Source organism: Homo sapiens, chromosome 16, assembly GCF_000001405.40.
Source record: "Homo sapiens chromosome 16, GRCh38.p14 Primary Assembly".
In the NCBI taxonomy this organism is placed as follows: Eukaryota; Metazoa; Chordata; class Mammalia; order Primates; family Hominidae; genus Homo; species Homo sapiens.
The window spans coordinates 24,749,768-24,769,372 of NC_000016.10; the positions used below are offsets into that span (position 1 = coordinate 24,749,768).

At 36.7% G+C, this 19,605-nt stretch overlaps 1 protein-coding gene across 48 annotated transcripts in view; it reads left to right on the forward strand.

Annotated features, from left to right (window-relative positions):
- Positions 1–19,605, forward strand: part of TNRC6A (trinucleotide repeat containing adaptor 6A) — a 216,014-nt gene that overhangs the window by 139,563 nt on the left and 56,846 nt on the right. For 43 of the 48 annotated variants that reach the window (XM_024450231.2, XM_017023145.3, NM_001351850.2 and 40 more), the window contains 2 exons: positions 959–1,046; positions 8,572–8,593. The exons of 3 other annotated variants lie outside the window; for them this stretch is intronic. In XM_024450231.2, the coding sequence (XP_024305999.1) occupies positions 959–1,046; positions 8,572–8,593 (110 nt within the window). The remainder of the gene's footprint in view (positions 1–958; positions 1,047–8,571; positions 8,594–19,605) is intronic. 2 more of the 48 variants (XM_017023153.2, XM_047433937.1) reach the window with 1 other exon arrangement.

Below are 19,605 nucleotides of genomic sequence, written 5' to 3' on the forward strand. Positions count from 1 at the left end.
TTGAAATCCTGAACCAGAGGTTCTGTTGACAACTTTAACCATTTGAGATTTTTAAAATTTAAACAAACTAATATGAAGAATACATTATTAGACCAGGCGTGGTGGCTCACACCTGTAATCCCAACACTTTGGGAGGTCAAGGTGGGCAGATCACTTGAGGTCAGGAGTTTGAGACCAGCCTGGCCAACTTGGTGAAACCCCGTCTGTACTAAAAATACAAAAATTAGCCAGGCATGGTGGCAGGTACTTGTAAACCCGGCTACTCGGGAGGCTGAGGCAGGAGAATCACTTGAACTCGGGAGGTGGAGGCTGCAGTGAGCAGAGATCATGCCACTGCATTCCAGCCTGGGTGACAGAGCAAGACTCTGTCTCAGAACAAACAAGAGTACGTTATTGTTTCCCAAGAATTGATAGAATACCTTGGAATGTTGATAGAATATGAAATTGTTGTAATGCTGAAATACAAATCACCTATTTATTAATAAGTTATATTCTAAAAATATTTACAAAGCTTTTTAGAGCAAGGAAAACTAAAGGTAGCTTCCAGAAACCTAGGTGAGAGAGGATTGTGGGGAGGTCTCAGGCATTGCCATTAGCTACTAATTGATACTTGGGGCCAGTAGCAAGGTAACTCCAGCTTAAATGATGAAGTTTACATTCTAGGATTGGAGGAAATTGCTTGTTTCCCAATGTAAAATTTGCTAATTTTAGGTTGTCTTCCTTGATATGATATTGAGATAAAAGCTGTGCTACTTGTGGCTTATTAAAGTGAATTGTACCATATAGTGGCTATATAGTTAGGGTTAGGTTGCAGGTTGTGTTTTATTTCAATGAATGATAAAATAATAATTTGCCATGTCTTCTAATAAGAGTGAAAAAGTGAAAATGAATCTGTATGCAACATTATTTTTATTTCTTAATACATTTTGGGAAACTTAATTGCAACTGTGTGGTTCAGGGATTTAGTGCAAGAAGAAGAACAGTTGATGGAAGAAAAGAAAAAGAAAAAAGACGACAAGAAAAAGAAGGAAGCTGCTCAAAAGAAGGTAGTATGTGTGTAAACTATTTATATTAAGCAGTTTAAACATAGAATTAAAAAAAAATTACTCTTACAGATTTTGAAGGCATTTATTTGATTTAATGTTTTAGCTTTAATGGAGATTCATTTTAATATTTAATGTCTTTGAATATGCATATAAAGTAACTTGCTGAGTTTGTACAATTTAATGCATATTTAATCTTGTCAATAGTTTTTCAAAGGTAAGTACATTTTATGGATCTTTATCTTTCAAATAGCTGTTCCTAGGTGTTTCATAATATATCATTTTATAAGTGGGAAGAGCATGGAATTTGCAGCCAAGTTGAGAGTATTTGAAATCTCACTCTCCCACATAGCACATAGAATGGTGTGACTTTAGATTTTATTTAGCCTCTCTGGGCCTTAGTTTCCTTGTGTTTTGTTAAATGAGGGTTGAATTGAGATGATGTTATTATATGTAATACAGAAATAGAGTATTAAAGGAAAATGTAATAGACATAATAGGAAGTAAAGTGTCAGTTTCTTTTTCCCTCTTTATTTAGTACCTGGGCTGATTTTTAAAGTGTGCAGTGTACATTAGCCTTAAAATAAACCTCGGACATTGTTTACTGCAAGGGAATTCTAAACTAGCTAATTTAGTATAGGAAACTATAATTCAATGCAAAGTAAGTTAAAAAAATCTGTAATTATTAAAAATTTTCCATTTAATTGTTACATACCAAACAATTGTATTAGTATTGTTAATACTAAAAACTGATAATAGTTAGCTAAATGGGCACTCATCTCCTACTATGTCAAGGTTTCAAGACATTAAAATGCTCTAAAAACCTAGTGAAATTACTGTTTCAATTATCTGTTGTAATGAAAAATTATTTTAATTTCTAATATATGCCTTTTTTGAGCCAGGCATTGTGCTAGGAACTGGATGTAGACTATAGCAAGATACTTATGTCCACATTATTTAATAGGGGAAAACACAGGCTGTAAAAATGGCAGGTGAGGCATTTATGGGGAACTGTTGCAGTACAGAGAGAGAGGTGCATAACTCAGGCTGAAATGGGGCAGAGGGACAGAGAAATTTCGTTAGAGTAGAAATTAGGTGAATAAGGAGCAGAATAGAAAAGGATTCCAAACAGTGAAAACTCAGAAATACTTGGTAGCCTGTATGCATTAAAGGATGGGTTTTGCTTGGGGGAAAGGGAGGGAACCAAGGGTAGAACTCTGAAGAGTTGAACTAGGAAAGGCTAGGAGGTTTTCTCAAGGCTTTGGGGAAAATGCTGAAAATGTTTTAGTAGAGTGACATAAAAGTTTGTATTTTAGTATGTTTACCTTGGAAAATTGTGGAATTGGTTTAGAGGGGGTAGATACCAGAGTGTGAAATACTGGTGAAGGGACTATTAAAGTAATCCACAGAATTTGTTTAAAGGATATAGAGGGAGAGTCAGCTTAGATTGACTCGCAGGTTCCAGATGAGTGACTACATTTGAGAGGAGTTAATCAGGCTAGGGGATACAAAGAAAGGAGAAATGATAAATAATTCAGTTCTGCATGTCCTGAGCCTAGGGGTGTCATCAGCAAGTATTAGGGGAGGAGAATTAAGTATGAGATGAGAGGAGATGATGTGGCCCTAGCCACCTGCCTTTTGCTTGCTCTTAGGGGTGCCTGGGAAGGGATGCATAGGTATATGCCATGGTTAGGGTTTTGGTAGGCTTCTCGTGGTTTGGTATTGATGGATGTCTTGGGCCTCTGTCAGAGGCTGTTTATGTAGGACAGTCTTTGCAGTCTGGTCGGTCATTGCTCGAGATTTCTTATGAGAAAGTTGTGTCCTCTGTAAGTCTGAGGTTGGGGTAAAGGCTTATCAGACTCTTGTTCCATGGTGTGAAAGGCCATTTGCCCAATGAAAAGAGCTTCTAAGAAACTTAAGAGGTTTATTGAAAAGGATGGTTGGATATACTTTATGTAGATTCAGTAGTTTGGCAAGCATCTGAGTGTTGAATTAGGCTCTGTTGGTCCCTGTGTCTAAGGAGTTCAAGAATTAGCTGATAAGTCAGAATGTATGTGAAATGGCTAGAGAAGAGGCCTAAGACAATATATAAGCGTATTTGTTTGGAATTTATTCTATTTACTGAGAAATTTTAAGAAAGGGAGGGGTCACTTGAATGATGTCTTTAAATATTGTATTTTTGTGAATATAATTTTAAAGTTGTAACATATACAGCAATGGCTCTAATTGTTACAAGTAAATCTTTACATTCTTGTATAATCAAATCTCTAAATCACCAAGTCAGTATAAGTGGTCACTTATGTGTAGGCAGCTTATAAATAAGCCTGTAACACATGAGTGGTGATTATTGTGCCATTTGACTTCTCACCAAATCTGAAGTGACAGCTTTTCATACTGTTGCCCACTTCATTCCTGTCTCACCCCATGGTTCCAGTCTCTCACCTCAACCATGTCCTTACTAGAACCATCATCAGAAGCTTAGGGATATAAGAAGTTTTTCCTTCTTTTGCCAGATCTTCAGCACTGATAGGGTATTCCTGTGTGTCTCATAGACACATCATAGTATCTACCCACTGAACACAATATAAAGGAAGGTTTAATACCTCTAATAAATGTTAAGTTTAGCAGGCTAGGCCGCTACTGTAAATTAGACTGTTCTCCAAATTTCAAATAATCAGCTTACAACTGAATTTGAATACAACCTGTCGGTGAAGTGAGGACAGCTGGTATTTCCATAGAGTGTTACCAGATAGCTCTTGAAAAGAAAAGAAAACCCCCAAATGACACACTTATAGCCCATATGAGGAATTGTGAGTCACAGGGTTTTTAAGACAGGTTTCCTGGAACTTGTCTTTTGTCGCTAGTAGGAGCCAGCAGGTGTATCCAGGCAGATATCTACATGAGCCAGGTGGGCAGGCCCATTTATATAAATGTTGGCACATAAACTCACTACAGTAAAAAGTATTTTATGTAATTTATATTTTCTTATTTTTGAAAAAGGCCAGATATTATCTGTTCTAATACATTTGTTCATTTTTAATATAAGGAACCTAAGCATCAGAATGAATTAAGTGATTGACCTTGGTTTTATCATGGTGACAGAACCAGGAATATAATTGAAATCTCTCTCCTCCAGCTGGTGCTTTGCCAAAACCCTGTGCCATGACTTTATCCTTTTCATGCAGAACATTATCTTATACTTTGCTTTATTTTTTGTCATTTAAAGGTGAACTTTAAAATTGGAAAATAATATATTGTGATAATTTTTATAATAGGGTATAAAATAGGTTCTTATACCATGAATACAGAAAATGCATACATTTAATGGTCCCCAGTAGCCACTGTGGTTTTTTTAAAATTAACACCATGGGTTATTTTCTATTTTAAATAAAAAGCCAGATAACACAACTTCCTATAAAAACAATTAGACACCGACGAGCCTTACAACGATATTTTCGTTTTGATAGTTTTTATTATCCTATCATTTAAATATTAATTTACATATTTAGATTCTTTAAAGAGCTTTTTCACATTAAAAACAGGGTGATTTGTATTGTATTTCAGCCCCAATACATTTCTAATTAATATGGAGACCGATGACTTTTGTTCTTAAAATTTTTTGAAAAGCCTTTTCATCAAAGATTATGTATAACACTCTTTTCTGTTTCATATCTAAGAACCAGGGCTATTATTTTCTGATTCTTGGGCTTAGAAAATAATTTGACAGAGCATGGAAATGTAGTTTCCATACTTTAAAAAAAGGAGGGGGGTGACAGTAGTAGCAGTAGGTTACCATGGATTTCTCTCCAGGTTCTGTTTTTAGAAGAAATTTCTCCAAGGGATCTTAAGGGAAATGTAATGAGGAGGAAAATAGAGGTTGAGAAATAGGTTAATTATAGAGGGGTAGTTTAGTGTAACCTTTACTTGAAGCATGCAATTGTAGTTCCTAGAAAGCATATAATCGTTGAAGGCCGAGGGGAAGCAACAATACAAGTTGGGATCTCTTGGTGTTGAGAATGTTTCAACATCCATGGGCTTTTTGCTGTTACTGTGTTAAGAGCTGAAGGGATTTTTATAGGTGTTATTGACTTAAATATACCAAATTCAAGTTTAAATGAGACCTAGGTTTTAGAGAGCTTCCAGCTTTATTGCCATTTTTGAGGATCATATTCAGCAGCTTAATTAGTAAATTTTCTCAGTAACCTTGGTGGTAACATGACCAGGCCTGAGTTGTGCTCTCATAGAGGGCAGTTAGGTGTTCTCTTACAGTCTTGCCCCTCATTGCACCTTACACTTCTCTTTTCCTCTTTTATAAAACTCATTTTATTCAACAGATCTGGATTCTAGACTGAGTGCTGATTGCTAAGTCATAGGAAAGCTCTCTGAGCACTAGGTGTCTCATTTAAAATCAGTGAATTGAGCTAGATTAATTCTTTATTCTTAATGTTAGGTTGTAATACTTGGCACTGTTAAGACATTGTAGATGATCAGAAAAAAAGAAAAGCAAGACCTGGAAGGGATGAATGTAGAGTCAGCTTATTTCCAACAGTGAGAGCCAATACTGAGCCAAAGCATGGGCAGATAGGCTGAAGATAGCAGCCGCCAGCGCCACAGCAGCAGCTGATGTCTGCTGAATGCTTTCTATATGTCAGGCTTTGTCCTAAGTGCTTTTATATGAGTTAAATCCCTTTAACCTTACAACTCTGAGGTGGGTGTTTTTGCCACAGTTCTATAGATGAGGAAACTAAGCTTTAGAGAAGTTAACACATTTGACCATGGTCACACAGTGTAAGTGGCAGAGCCAGGTAGGCAGTCAGGCTTTAGATCCTGAGGTCTTAACGAAGTGTGCTTCAGGACCATGTTGTTGGGACAAGCAGTGCAGAGCCTGACAGGCAAAGCAAGTGGAGTGCTGTGCTCTGCCACTGCACTGCTGTCTTCAGTAATGAAGGAGGCAGTTGTGATCATTGCTGGTGGAACCATAGCTCAGATTTTTTTTTTAAAGAATAATGTATTAAAAATGGAAATCATTTTGCTTCTAGATTGGCCAGAATCTTTTAATTATCTGTATGAGAGGATTTACAGTGATACTTCACATTTGAAGTAGTGTTGTATAGTTTTTCAAAAAAAATCTTTCACATTTTATTATTTGACCCTCATAATAACCCTGAAAGGTAAGCAGGACAGTTATTTTGTCCATTTGAGAGATTAGGAAACTGAGACCCAGAGGGTTTAAATGATCAGAGCATTTCAAAGTAAAAATAACCAGATTAATTTTAATATATTTTATATAACCTAATATAGCTAAAATGTTACTATTTTGACATGTCAGTATAAAGTATTTTTAATAAGGCATCTTGTGTTCTTTTAAAAATACCAAATATTAGAAATTTGGTGTGTATTTTGCTCATCTCAGTTCAGACTAGCCACATTTCAGTCAGTGGTCGGTAGCCACATGTGGCAAGTGGCTGTTGTTTTGGATAGTGCAGACAATTACTCTTAAAATGACTGATCCCACCTGGAAAATTCTTTTTAATAATTTGAATAATATACTAGGTCTCCAGACCAGCCCGCAAAAACCTGTTTTAAAAAAGTGGAACTCTTAGTTCCGTTTCTTCCCATTCCATGAGGAGCTCTTGGTTTCTATACTACTACTTTCATTCCTTGTATACATTAAATCCGATTCTTAGGGGCAGACACACCTTAGGTGTCTCCATGGGGCCATTCTCTGTTGATGACAGAATACTGAATGAGGTTGACCGTTGTTTTAAAGCATCTTTTTCCAAAGGAGTTGTATAGCATATATCCTTTATGTTGTAAGGCCTAAAAGAGCAACATGGTATACTTTGTTTTGTTTTGCTTTTTTGTAGAGATGGGGTTTCGCCATATTGGCCAGGCTGGTCTCAAACTCCTGGCCTCAAGCATCTGCCTGTCTTCTGCCTCCCAAAGTGCTGGGATAACAGGCGTGAGCTGCACCTGGCCTACTTTGGGTTTTTATGTGGTCATTGTTTCTATGTTCTGAAACTTAGTTTCCATTGGAAGTAAATTGTGAAAGAGACCAGGAGAGTGTTTTTTGTCTGTTTGTTTTGTTTTTTTTTAAGCCTTTCAACGTGTAAAAGAAATTTTCTGCTAATTCTTTGGCTTCAGAAGATTATGCATCTTATTGTTTGACATGACATTTCTGATACCTAAAAGTGTTCATATACTAACTTCTCTCTAATAAGACTTGTTTTTCTACTCTCAGATTTTAAAAATGATTTTCCCAGAAACAAATGAAGTGTTGTTAGCTAGTTGACTGGTTGTTTGGCATTGTCTTTCCATCAAAATTTTTTTTTTCATTTAAATTTTGATCCATAGAGTAAAAGATGAGCCTCCATTATTTTGTATTTCACTAGTGCTCTAAAACTTAGCAAAGCACTTACGTGGTGGAGCAAGACTCCCTGGCTTTCTGGGGAAAGATTAATGTTTGGTGTGGCTTCAATATTAGGGAGTTACTATAGCTTTTACCCATATATCTATAATAGTATAATTTAAAATGGTATTTTTGATAACAGTAATTTCATATAACTAAGCAAAATGAATTATGCCCCATGGCAGCTAAGAAAAGCTTTATTGCTATTTAGAAACAACAACTGGTTATTCAGTTACTAATTATTCAGTCTTTTCTCACCTCCTTTCCTGTTCTTGTATCTGTTATTTTCAGGATTCCCATAATATTGATCTTGATCAACAGATTGATGTTTTGCTTGGGTTTTTCTGTCTGTGGTTCTTTTTGAAGCCCTTGGGAGTTTGAGCTAGTCACCTCGAGTTAACCCTGCTGTCCTCAAGCCCCTCTCCTCAGTTGTGGTGTCAGAAAATAAAGGAAGAGCAGACATTGGAAGGCAGTGAAAGCAGAGTTCATGTCAGTTCAGCTTCTGATCACAGTAATTTTAACAGATTGTCAGATGTGTCAGAAGTGATAAATCAGTTTGAAATTTTTTTCCACTCAAAAATACTTAGATACTTAAAAGTTGACTAAGTTTAATTGCAATAGCAGCCTAACCTCCAGGAGTTAAATTTATTACTAATTTGGCTAAAGTGATTATATGTACAGCTTTTCTTACAGAAAACCTAATTCGTCTTTTTATCACTTGTAACAATTTTTGAAGCCATTTAAACATGCAAAATATATTAAATCCATTAAATGTAAAGGTGACAGTTTGTATAAAAATCATTTTTAAAGGACATGAGAAAAGTGCAGCTCCCATTTAAAAAATTATATACTGTCATACAGTGATGTCTTCTATGCTTAGTGTCACAAAAATTAGGTATTTTAAATTAATAAACATAGTATCAGGGATAATGGGGCACATCTGTGGGAAAAGCATGCTTTCCTTGCATATCTTTTCCTGTGCAGTTCATCTATTTGAGAAATTCCTTGTTTAATAAAGGTGTATATGTCTTATATTAATATATGAACATTTTATCATAACAGTCCATTTCTTTCAGTTTCATATTTACATTGTTTTTTGTTTGTTTGTTTTTATTTTAGGCCACTGAACAAAAAATCAAAGGTACGTTGTTTAAAGCTATTTTTTATCCCTTTTTTCATTAAAGCAAGGTTGTTTATGTGCATTTTTGTTCACCTCAAGGATGGGAGAGAGAAGAGCATGAAAGAAGCGGTTGGGATTAGCCTTCTTCAGTAACATACCCTGGGGTCGTCCTTTGGAATTTCATGGTTATTGTGGTGTATGTGACCACATTTAGAGTGCACTGCCTCAGACCTGCCTTAAAGCTGTGTCATAGGATAAGAGTAAGCACTGCTTCCTAATGTACTCCCTTGTTTTGACTCTTGGGGCACAGGCACCTTTCCTTCAGTCTTCCTTCTAAAAGTCTTCTTGTGTGGGGTAACCTCTAGGACCCCACTGTATCCCTTAAGAGTTCTGCCTCCTTTATTTCTTGTTCTCTGAAGAATGTCCCCCATTCCTTCTTATAGACAGATAGTGACATCCATCTCTGTATTATCACTTAGAATAGTAGATTGCAAACCTTACACATTGTGTCAGGTTTGAACAGCACCCATTAGACCCCAAGCAAAAGACATCGGAGTGATAAGGAAACAGGACACTAATTCCTCTCAGATCCTGAATCAGGAGTTCTTCACCCTCCCAGGAGCTACTTGGTAATAAAGGTGTAAAGCTCTCAGGTGCTGAACTTATTAAGCCTCAAGATTCTGAATTTTTATTTTAAGCTCTATCAAAAGTATAATCTTACCCCTCAAAAAAAAGATGAATAAAGGAATGAAATGGTTCAAAGAAGGAATGAAATGGTTCAAGCATGATTCAAGACACAGAGATAAGAAATAACATGATGTGGCTTGCAGTGGTGGAATTCCATAACATGATGTAGTATGCAGTGGTGGTATTCCTAGAGCGTTAAATATTCAGTGATAAGTGGGCAGGGTTGAGGCTGAAAAGATAGATAGGGGCCAGGTCAAAGTGGGTTAATTTATGTGCTGTTTGTACCAACAAGCTTGGACTTTGTATGTGACAGGCAGTTAGGAGGCATTCAAGACTTAAGCAGAGTGACATGGTGCTTTGTTTTACGTTGTTTTCCATTTTTTAAAGCTATCAACTACTGTACATGGAAAGTATTGGTTGGAAGACAGGTAGGGATTTGAAAGGTAGAGCTAAGAGAAGAAAGGCATTGTGAGCAGAGGAGGCAGGTAGACAGCATGGGGAATACGACGTGCATCTTTTGTCTCTAGAGTTGGGGGGAAGTGACTGAATATAGGCCTGGAGATAGAGGGAGCCACAGGGCTTCATGCTGGTTAAGCCAGCAAAGGTGTTTGGATTTGGAATGTCATGGTCATAAGCTGTGGAAATTTAACTTTGCCAGTAGTGCCTAAAGTCACCAATAGAAGCAAGATTAGAGAGGGTCATGAGGGTTTGAACTGAGGTCTTGGCAGTAGAGGTAGAAGGTGGGTGACAGATGTGTGAGGGATAATTGACAGGACTGGCAACTGATGAGATCAGAAGAGGAGTTGAAGGCGCATTTGTGGCTTTGAACTTGGAATGTCTAAGACAGTTACAAGGATGCGGAATGTAGGGAGGAACATTGCCAAATTAGTAGGAATGTTACCAAATTAATTTTCCTAAAACTCTATTTTCCCCACCCCTCTCCCCCACATAGCAATGGTAAGTTGTCCCTATTTGTTCTTGCTTCAAGACCAAACTCCTTTGCTTAGCTTTCAAGGCCCTCATTAATCTAACCTCCCTTGACCTAACCAGCCTGTTTCCCATCAGTCCTTATACTTTTTAGAGCATTCTTAGCTCTTTCATGTTCATTCTTGTTTCTTTTTTATTCAATTTATCAGCCAAAGATGTCTTTATCAGGCCTTTCAGCTTTCCTAAACCTCTCAGAGTTCATCCTTGAATGGGTCTCTCCAAGTACCATTGATCTCTCCCTTTCCAGTTTCTTAGGATGTTATAATCTCAAATTTGGGCACTTGGTTATATTCTTACATTTTTGACTGATCCTTGGATATTTGTTTCTTCAACATCTTTGAGTACCTAGTGTTTATATCATTTCTAAATGTAAATAATTTTCTTCTAGCCTTACATAAAATATGAACATATTTAGTCTTCTTGTTTTTAGATTTTTCCACGACTCTGTAGATGATAGGCTGAGTATATGAAGGTCACTTCAGAATACATTTTGTTGTTTTGCCAGTGATTTCACTCATGTCATCCTTCTTTTCACGCTGTCTCTCTTCATAATTGTTCCCATTTTTTCTGATTCATGAAAATGTATTGTTTTATTTCTGTGCTATGTATTTGTCTAGGTAGTATTTATAGTTTGGGGTTCACATAGTGGTTAGAGATTACAAACTGGAGACTTGAGGGGCAGATGTGGCCTACTTGGTGGTGGTGGTGTTTACTAAACTTTGTATTTTGGAATAATTTTAGATTTACAAAAAAGTTGGAAAGATAGTACAGAGACTTCTCATATACGCTTCATTCAGTTTCCCCGATTATTAGCATCTTACATTACCATGGTACATTTGTCAAAACTAAAAAACCAACCATGATACTAACCTCACCAGTTTTTCCATTAACGGCTTTCCATTCTAGGATCCGATGCGAAATGCTGCCTTGCATTTAGTTGTCAGGCCTCCCCAGTTTCTGGTTTCTGCAGTGTTTTTATTGTTATCCTGTACATTTTAAAATGACTGCCAACATTTAAAAATCAGAAGAGTCTGCCTATTCCAGAATTCCTGCTTCTCTTACAGTTCATAATGTCAGTATGATTTTTTTCTCTTTCTGTGTTGTAGAGTCTGTGTAAAGACCAAGTTTAGCCACATGTGGCTGTCAAGTACCAGAAATGGGACTGTGACTGAGGAACTAAATTTTTAATCTTACGGGACAACATAGCTCTAAAGTGTAATGGGCAACGTAATGACGTTCTTGAAAGTTTTATTCTTGTGACTTCAACTTTGAAAAACTGTAAAGAACACAAATATTTGAATATTTAAAAAATCTTTTAAAATATGTCTCTTACGAGTATGTCCTTGAAACAGCAGGAGAGTGAAGTGCTAAAAAACTTCAGGTGAGGTATAGGGATAGATGGATAAATTTTAAGATGCCCTGTGGTATATGTAATGTAAAGGCAAGGAAAGAGCTAATGTTCCTTCTTCAGAGTGTCCTTGGGAACTTGGTTGAGAATAAGAAAATTTTTTAAAAACAGTTTTACAACTCTGGCATTGACTTTTTTTTTTCTTTTTTTTTAAGGAGACAGGGTCTCGCTCTGGAGTGTAGTGCACAATCATAGCTCACTGCGGCCTTGAACTTTTGGGCTCAAGCAATCCTCCTGCCTCCTGAGTAGCTGGGACTGTAGGGGCAGGCTATTTTTTTTTCTTTTTCTTTTTTTAAACGTGATCATGCTACATTACCCAGGCTGGTCTCAAACTCCTAGACTCACACGATCTTCCTGCCTCAGGCTCCTGAGTAGTTGGGACTGTAGGCGTGAGCCACCGCAGCTGGCTGACATTGGGTTTTTTGGGAAGCATGTTGATTGTACATTCATTTCAAAAGAATAAGTAAGCACTGTTGATTTTTGACAGCTAATTTTCTCTCTCTCTCCTGACCTCTTTTTCCTCTGTCTCTTCCCCTTCTTGTCTCACTCCTTCATATCAGTGCCAGTGCCTTTTTTGAGTGATTTCATGAGCAAGGTATCTTCCAAAGAGTAATAAACCCCTGAGCTCCTAAGGGAGTTATGGGAAGCCCGGGGAGATCCTAGTGGGAAACAGCAATGGAGAAAAAAGGATTGAGATTTTATTTTTTGGGTGATAAAATAGCGAAGTTTAGTTTATTACTGCCGCTCTGTTTCTGGGTTAATTAAAAACTCATGAAATTAAGTCAACATTTATACATTTTTTCCTGCCACAATTGGCACAGTTATTTTTTATCAATTCTAGCCTTAATATTTGTTTTTCTGTCAAACACAATGTTACTACATCTGGGTGATAAAAATATTCACTATCTATTAAGTCAGCTGCATGTCAAATCATATTGTAGACATTATTATAGCTGACTTAGAGCACCTTCTATGTGCCAGGCACTGTGCTTTATTTCATTTAATCAAGGAAAATATTCTAAATATTTAACCACTAATAATGAATGGGTATCAGCAGTTCAGAACAGGGTCCTGAAAGCTTCTTAATGTGCTAAGAGTTACTTTAGTTACTGAATTTTGGAAATCTTTGGGATCCAGAGCAGGGGCTGGGTATTCTGGGACTCACGTAGTCTATATTTAAAAATTGATGTGAGAGTAGGCCTTCAGTGTATACTAGCACAAGGTAAGTTTACGTTTAATCCTCTCAGCAGCCCTTTGAAAGTAGATATTAGCACCACTTACAGGTGAAATTAGGCTAGGAAAAATTAACTAACTTGCCCAGGTTATGCAGCTAACGAATGCCTGAGCCAGAATTTGACTACGAACTTGACTGGGCTCTACCGCTTCTGTTTCTTTAAAAACAGCCCCTGCAGTTACATGGAAGACAAGATGTGAAGGACACACCATTGCTCATGCTGCAACAGTAGTCACTGAATAAACTAAAACAACTCATCTTTTAAAAGGAATCCAGAAAGATCTTGGAACAGATTTTACAGTATTTCTCTATTGATTAAGCGTGTAGATTTTTTTTTTTTAAATTGTAGCACCAGTATAATTTTGTGAATCAGAGAATTTGACAGCTTTGTGATGGGTGAGGCATTGGCTCTTAAATTGTTTATTACATCTTTGGTTGTTGATGAAAATGAACAAGAGTTTTGAGAGCCAAGCAAGCAGCTGATTCTAAAATCTCCTGCATGCTTTGATCTCTATGCAGTAAACACTGATCCTTCTGTGGAGCAAAACCAGAGTACTAAATTACGTTCAAAGTGTTTTTTTGCTACACCTGTAAGGGAAATGTAATGACAATTTTGCTAAAAAAGAACCCTTCATTTCATCATTCTTCAAAGGGTGGAGGACCCTTTCTGAAGGGCTTGAATAACAGTTAAATCCTTTTCCAGTATGCCTGTTGACCAGTACATTTGTTAAAATCATAGCACACAGTTTAGCCTCTAGAATGTGACTGAGATGGCTAAGTTTGTGTTGAAGGAAGAAGTTTTTAGTTTGTCCCCTTCTCATTAATAAACAGAGCACCTCTTTACTTTTTCTTTCAGTCATCACTGCCAGTATCATCCATGTTTCACTATCTCATGAGGTCATCTTGAGAAACGAAGGAAATGAAAAATACTTACGTAATAATCCATTATTCTAAACTCAGGTTTCATAAAGTGACATTATTTCCTTCATTCATCATTCATGAAATACTTACTGTTTGCCTACCCTGTTTTATGCAATGTTATGGTCACTGGTAATAAGCATGAACAAAACAACCCCCAGGTTCCTGTTCCCACTGCACTTCCATTCTCATCTTTATTTTGGTAAAGGTAAATATGTGATTAAAGGCCTTTGTCATTTACCTGTGATCTGAACTTATCACTCCATTTTCTCCATAAGATCTTGTTTATTATATATATTTAAGGTGTACAACATAATGTTTTGGTATGCATATGCACAGTGAAATGAATACCACAGTCAAGCAAATTAATATACTTATCACCTCACAGTTAACCCTGTTTTTTTGGTAGAAGCACCTAAAACCTACTCTCAGCGAATTTCCAGTATACAATACAATATTATTAACTATATATCAGATCCCTAGACTTACCCACATACGTGCAACTTTGTACCCTTTGACCTATATCTACCCTCCCTAACCACTATTCTGTTCTCTGTTTCTATGTATTTGACTGTTTTTTTTTTTTAAGATTCCACTTGTAAGTGAGATCTTGGCAGTATTTTTATTTCTGTGTCTGGCTTACATCACTCAATGTCTTCCAGGTTCATCCATGTTGTGGCAAATGGCAGGCTCTCCTGTTTAAAAGCTGAATAATATTCCTTTGTATATATTTGCCACAATTTCTTCTTTTCTTTTCTTTTTTTTTTTTTTGAGACAGAGTCTTGCTCTGTCGCCCAGGCTGGAGTGCAGTGGCATGATCTCAGCTCACTGCAACCTCCACTTGCCGGGTTCAAATGATTCTTGTGCCTTAGCCTCCTGGGTAGCTGGGATTACAGGCGCGTACCACCACACCTAATTTTTGTATTTTTAGTAGAGACGGGGTTTCACCATGTTGTCCAGGCTGGTCTCAAACTCCTGACCTCAAATGATCCGCCCACCTAGCCTCCCAAAGTGCTGGGATTACAGGCTTGAGCCACTGCACCCAGACCACAATTTATTCATCTTTATTTATCCATAGGTTGTTTGTTTCCATATCTTGGCCATTGTGAATAATGCTGGCATGAACATGGGAGTACAGGTATTTCTACATGGTTCTGATTTCATTTCCTTTGGGTATACAGTAATCCCCCTGTATCCACAGAGAATCTGTTCCAAGCCTCCAGTGGATGCTTGAAATCTCGGATAGTACTGAACCTCATATATGCTATTAATAATATGCTTTTTCCTATACAACATACCTATGATAAAGTTCAATTTATAAATTAGGTATAGTAAGAGATTAACAACTAATAATAAAATAAAATAGAACAATTATAATCTGTTGTAATAGTTATCAGAATTTGGTCCCTCTCTCAAAATACTTTATTGTACTGTTCTCGCCTATTTTTGTACTGTGGCTGACCATGGGGTAAGACTTTGGAAAGTGAAATCTTGGAAAAGGAGGGGGACTACTGTATACCTAGAAGAGGAATTGCTGAGTCATATGGTAGTTCCAGTTTTAATTTTTGTGGGAATCCATAAGACCTTAAGTTTCCCAATTACAAGCCTTCTATTATAACGAATTTCAGGAACTTTGATGGCTTCATAGGGGTTACTGTACTGCCTGGATTCTCAGAGGAGAAAACTGAGGCTCAAGTAGTTTGTAACTTCAAGCATGTAACCTAATGATACACAGAGAAAATGATACTTGCAGGGCCATTAGGGTAAACAGAAAAGGCCACTCACAGCTGAAGATGACAATCCCAGAGAGTCAAGTCTAGTCACCCCATCTCCCCATAGCCTGTTTCCATCACACAGGTTGGGTAGTTCTGCTGTTACAGTTGGGGCTTAGTTCACTGTTTTTCTCCACAGTCTACATAGTAGAAATGATTTTTGTGTTGTAGGGTGGTATTAAGTAATAATACCAGGATTTTAAATGTGCTACGGTGGTTTTTTATGAGATATTTAGAAGGCATATGTGCACTAACCTCTTTAAAATAGAAGCATAGGTTCATACCGGTTAAGAATTTACTAATGGCAGGTATTTTTCTTCCTGTGGAAGATGTCTTTGAGCTATGTAACAAATAAGATTTGTAGCTCTGCACTAACAGAATGAAAAAAAAATGGCCTTCCACTTTCATGGGAAATAGTTAATAAAATGATTATTTTTAGGTAGATCATGTAACAAAGTCACTATTTTTTCTTTCCTCCTATTGTGAAAGGAAAATGATTTCCATAGATTTATACATGTAAGTCTAGATTTATGTACTCAGGGAGGCTATGAAGAATGCTAAGGAGACCCGTTTTGGCTTTAGGCAAGGATTATTTCTAACAAACGTAGATTTGTTGCTTTTAAATACTAATACATTTATTAAATTTGGTAGAAATTTATGTCTGATGAGACTGATCTACAGGACAAAGGAAACAGGAAGTAGATATGAAAAAAACATTAATGGCTATGAAATAATTTTTAAAGTGGTTAATCGGTACTTAGCCCTTTATTTTTAGAGAGTTTGTTTTTGCCCTTATAATTAAGATGAAAATAATGTATACTAGAAGGAACACTTGTTTGGGAGTCACATTGGGTTTTAAATTTCACCTCTGCCATTTACTAGACGTTCGAGCATGAATAGCTTTCTGAACTGCATTTGCCTCATCTGTAAAATGGGAATAATATTTCAAATTTATGGACTCACAAAGAGAATAAAGAGATAACAGATACATTGCCTGGCATCTAGCTGATACTTGGTAAATTTTAATATCCACCATTGTGGTTTTGCAATATCCTAGCAACCTTTCAGTCCCTTGAAATGACATGCTAGCAGTTTCTCCAGCTAATTCAGGGTTCCTCCATACCCAGAAGTGATTTGCTTTTGCTTCCCATTAAAGTAGAACCCAGCCCAGCAAAGGTGAATCACAGTGCAGTGCAAGGAATAGGTCTTAAAACATGAGGATGGGATCTATCAACTTCATAAATTTGGCAGGCCAAAATTGGTCTTTTTTCTTTGACTTGTATTTATTTGTTTGCCATGCATAATCACTTGTACTTTTTTCTTTTTATCTTTTTTTTTTTTTTTTTTTTGACGTGTAGTCTCACTCTGTCGCCCACGCTGGAGTGCAATGGCGCGATCTCAGCTCACTGCAACCTCCACCTCCCAGGTTCAAGCGATTCTCCTGCCTCAGCCTCCTGAGTAGCTGGGATTACAGGCGCCTGCCACCACACCCAGCTAATTTTTGTACTTTCAGTAGAGACAGGGTTTCACTGTGTTGACCAGGCTGGTGTCGAACTCCTGACCTCAAGTGATCCACCTGCCTCGGCCTCCCAAAGTGCTGGGATTACAGGCGTGAGCCACTGTGCTCGGCCACACTTTTTTCTTTTTATGAATTTCCCATCCTTACTATTTGCCCATTTAGTTCTTGGACCTAGAGTTTTATTTAGCAGTTTACTTGAGCTCTTTGTATAATAAACTCATTAACATTTCATCAGATGTATTTGATGCAAATATTTCCCACATTGTGGACCATATCGTATATATGAAGTCATTCTGAGGATGAGATACGAGGCAAGAATATCTAAATTTTGCCTAATCCCAGGTGCCCCATTGGGAATACATACGCTGAAGATGCAAATACATGTTCAGAAGGAGGAAAGCACAATTAAATCACATTTGTACTATTAGCTTGGACTTCAGTCCTAAACTCTAGTGTGTTGAATGCTTCTCTGTATTAGATTTAGTATCCTTAAACTAAAACATATCTTTCCTTAGATTAGGGAAAGTCGAGGTGAGGAGGGTTGGGAAGGAACAGAATGGATCCCTTTAATTTGTTCTAAAGGACAGGTATTTTCCAGTTTCCCTTTTAAATTGGAATATACACATTTGAAAAAATACACATCAGTATTTTATCTATTTTATCAAATTTATTTTTTATTCTTAAAGTTCTTGACTAATTGCTATGCTGAGAAAACATACCATTTTTCCAGATTTAGAAAATAGTTTGCCCATGTTTTGCAAAAGCTTTTAAAATCTCTAGCATTTTATAGTATTAATTGTTTAATTTAGCTGAAGTTTATTTTTATACTGTATATTTGGGACTTTTTTCCTAATTTAAAAAATCAACTAACCATTCTGTATTTCTTAACTAATTTATATCTTCAGTGATTTAATGACAGTTTCTTTATTATATAACTTTAGGGAATTAAAAACTCAGTGGGAACTAACTTCTACTTGAATGTTCAGGTATTATGTTTATGTTTTTTCTTATTTTTAAATTTTGAGTCACAAATGGAAGCTGAAGCTCTCTAGAGATTGCTACAGTGTCTTCCAGAACTGTTTTCCAGACTTACTCAGACATGAGAACCCCATGTGATACTTGTTTTTAAATATATGGATTCTGATTAGTAAGTGTAAGGCTGAAGAATCTTTTGCTTCTAAACAGTTCTAATAAGCAAATTTGAAGAGAGCCATTCTGTACTTTTATGTTATGGAAGAGAGATTAATAGGCAATCTGAATTTTTTTCTTTTAAAAAGTGTGCCTGGGCCGGGCGCGGTGGCTCATGCCTGTAATCCCAGCACTTTGGGAGGCTGAGGCGGGCGGACCACGAGGTCAGGAGATTGAGACCATCCTGGCTAACACGGTGAAACCCCGTCTCTACTAAAAACACAAAAAATTAGCCAGGCGTGGTGGCGGGCGCGCCTGTAGTCCCAGCTACTCGGGAGGCTGAGGCAGGAGAATGGCGTGAACCCGGGAGGTGGAGCTTGCAGTGAGCCAAGATCGTGCCACTGCACTCTAGCCTGGGGGACAGAGCGAGACTCTGTCTCAAAAAAAAAAAAAAAAAAAAATCTTAATTGCAATGAAAGATACTTAGGAAAATCCTTTGTTGTTGCTCTTACTTGAGAATAACATTTTCTAACTGAAGAGCTGTCATTGGTACACTCCATCTTGTCTTTTAGGAGCTTAACTTGATGGTTTTTTGTTTTCCTATATAACGACACATATAGAAATAGCAATTTTAGGTAAATTTAAAGTTTGCCAAGAGAAGTATTAAAATGCACTGTATATTTTATAGGTGTTTACTAAGTTATATTTTCTAGAGGTCAACTTAGCACTCCAGTCTCTTAAAGTGACATCATGTGTTAAAGCAGCGTTTTGTGTACTGTATTTCTGCCAGTGTTTTAGAAGATTTACAAAGTAGCCAATGTGAAAACTATTATACAAAGTTAAATAGTAGACTTTGACAGATAGGAATAATGTAAGGGCTTGAGGTATTAAGGCATGGAAATTGATGTTTTGGGGATTGGTAGATGATTGTTGGCTGGTCCACATTTAACTTCTTTCTGTTAAACTTGTAGATAGTCAAAGTGAAGTTCATTAAATATTTTCTGAAATCAGTTTATTAAGGTGACATAAAGTATTTTAAACATTTAAAGAAGTATTAATTAAAATGGTATTACAAATTTAGAACTTGGTATATTTAGAACTTTGGTTATATTGTCTGTTCTTGGGTTTTCATGTGAATATAAGACAATTGCTATTTTTTTTCAATTAAGAGGCTATTTTTTAAAACAGTTTTAGACTTACAGAATGATATGTTTTTATATAAGAAATATCAAGAAAGCTTGTAGAATAGCAAAGCTTAGCAAAAATTAATTTATTTGTCTTATTGGTGCATTTCATTGTTTCACAAAGTGGGGGGTCCTGATTTGGAACACAGACTAGGAAAAGGTAGGGTGAATTCTTTGAATAGATAATTTTTCCATT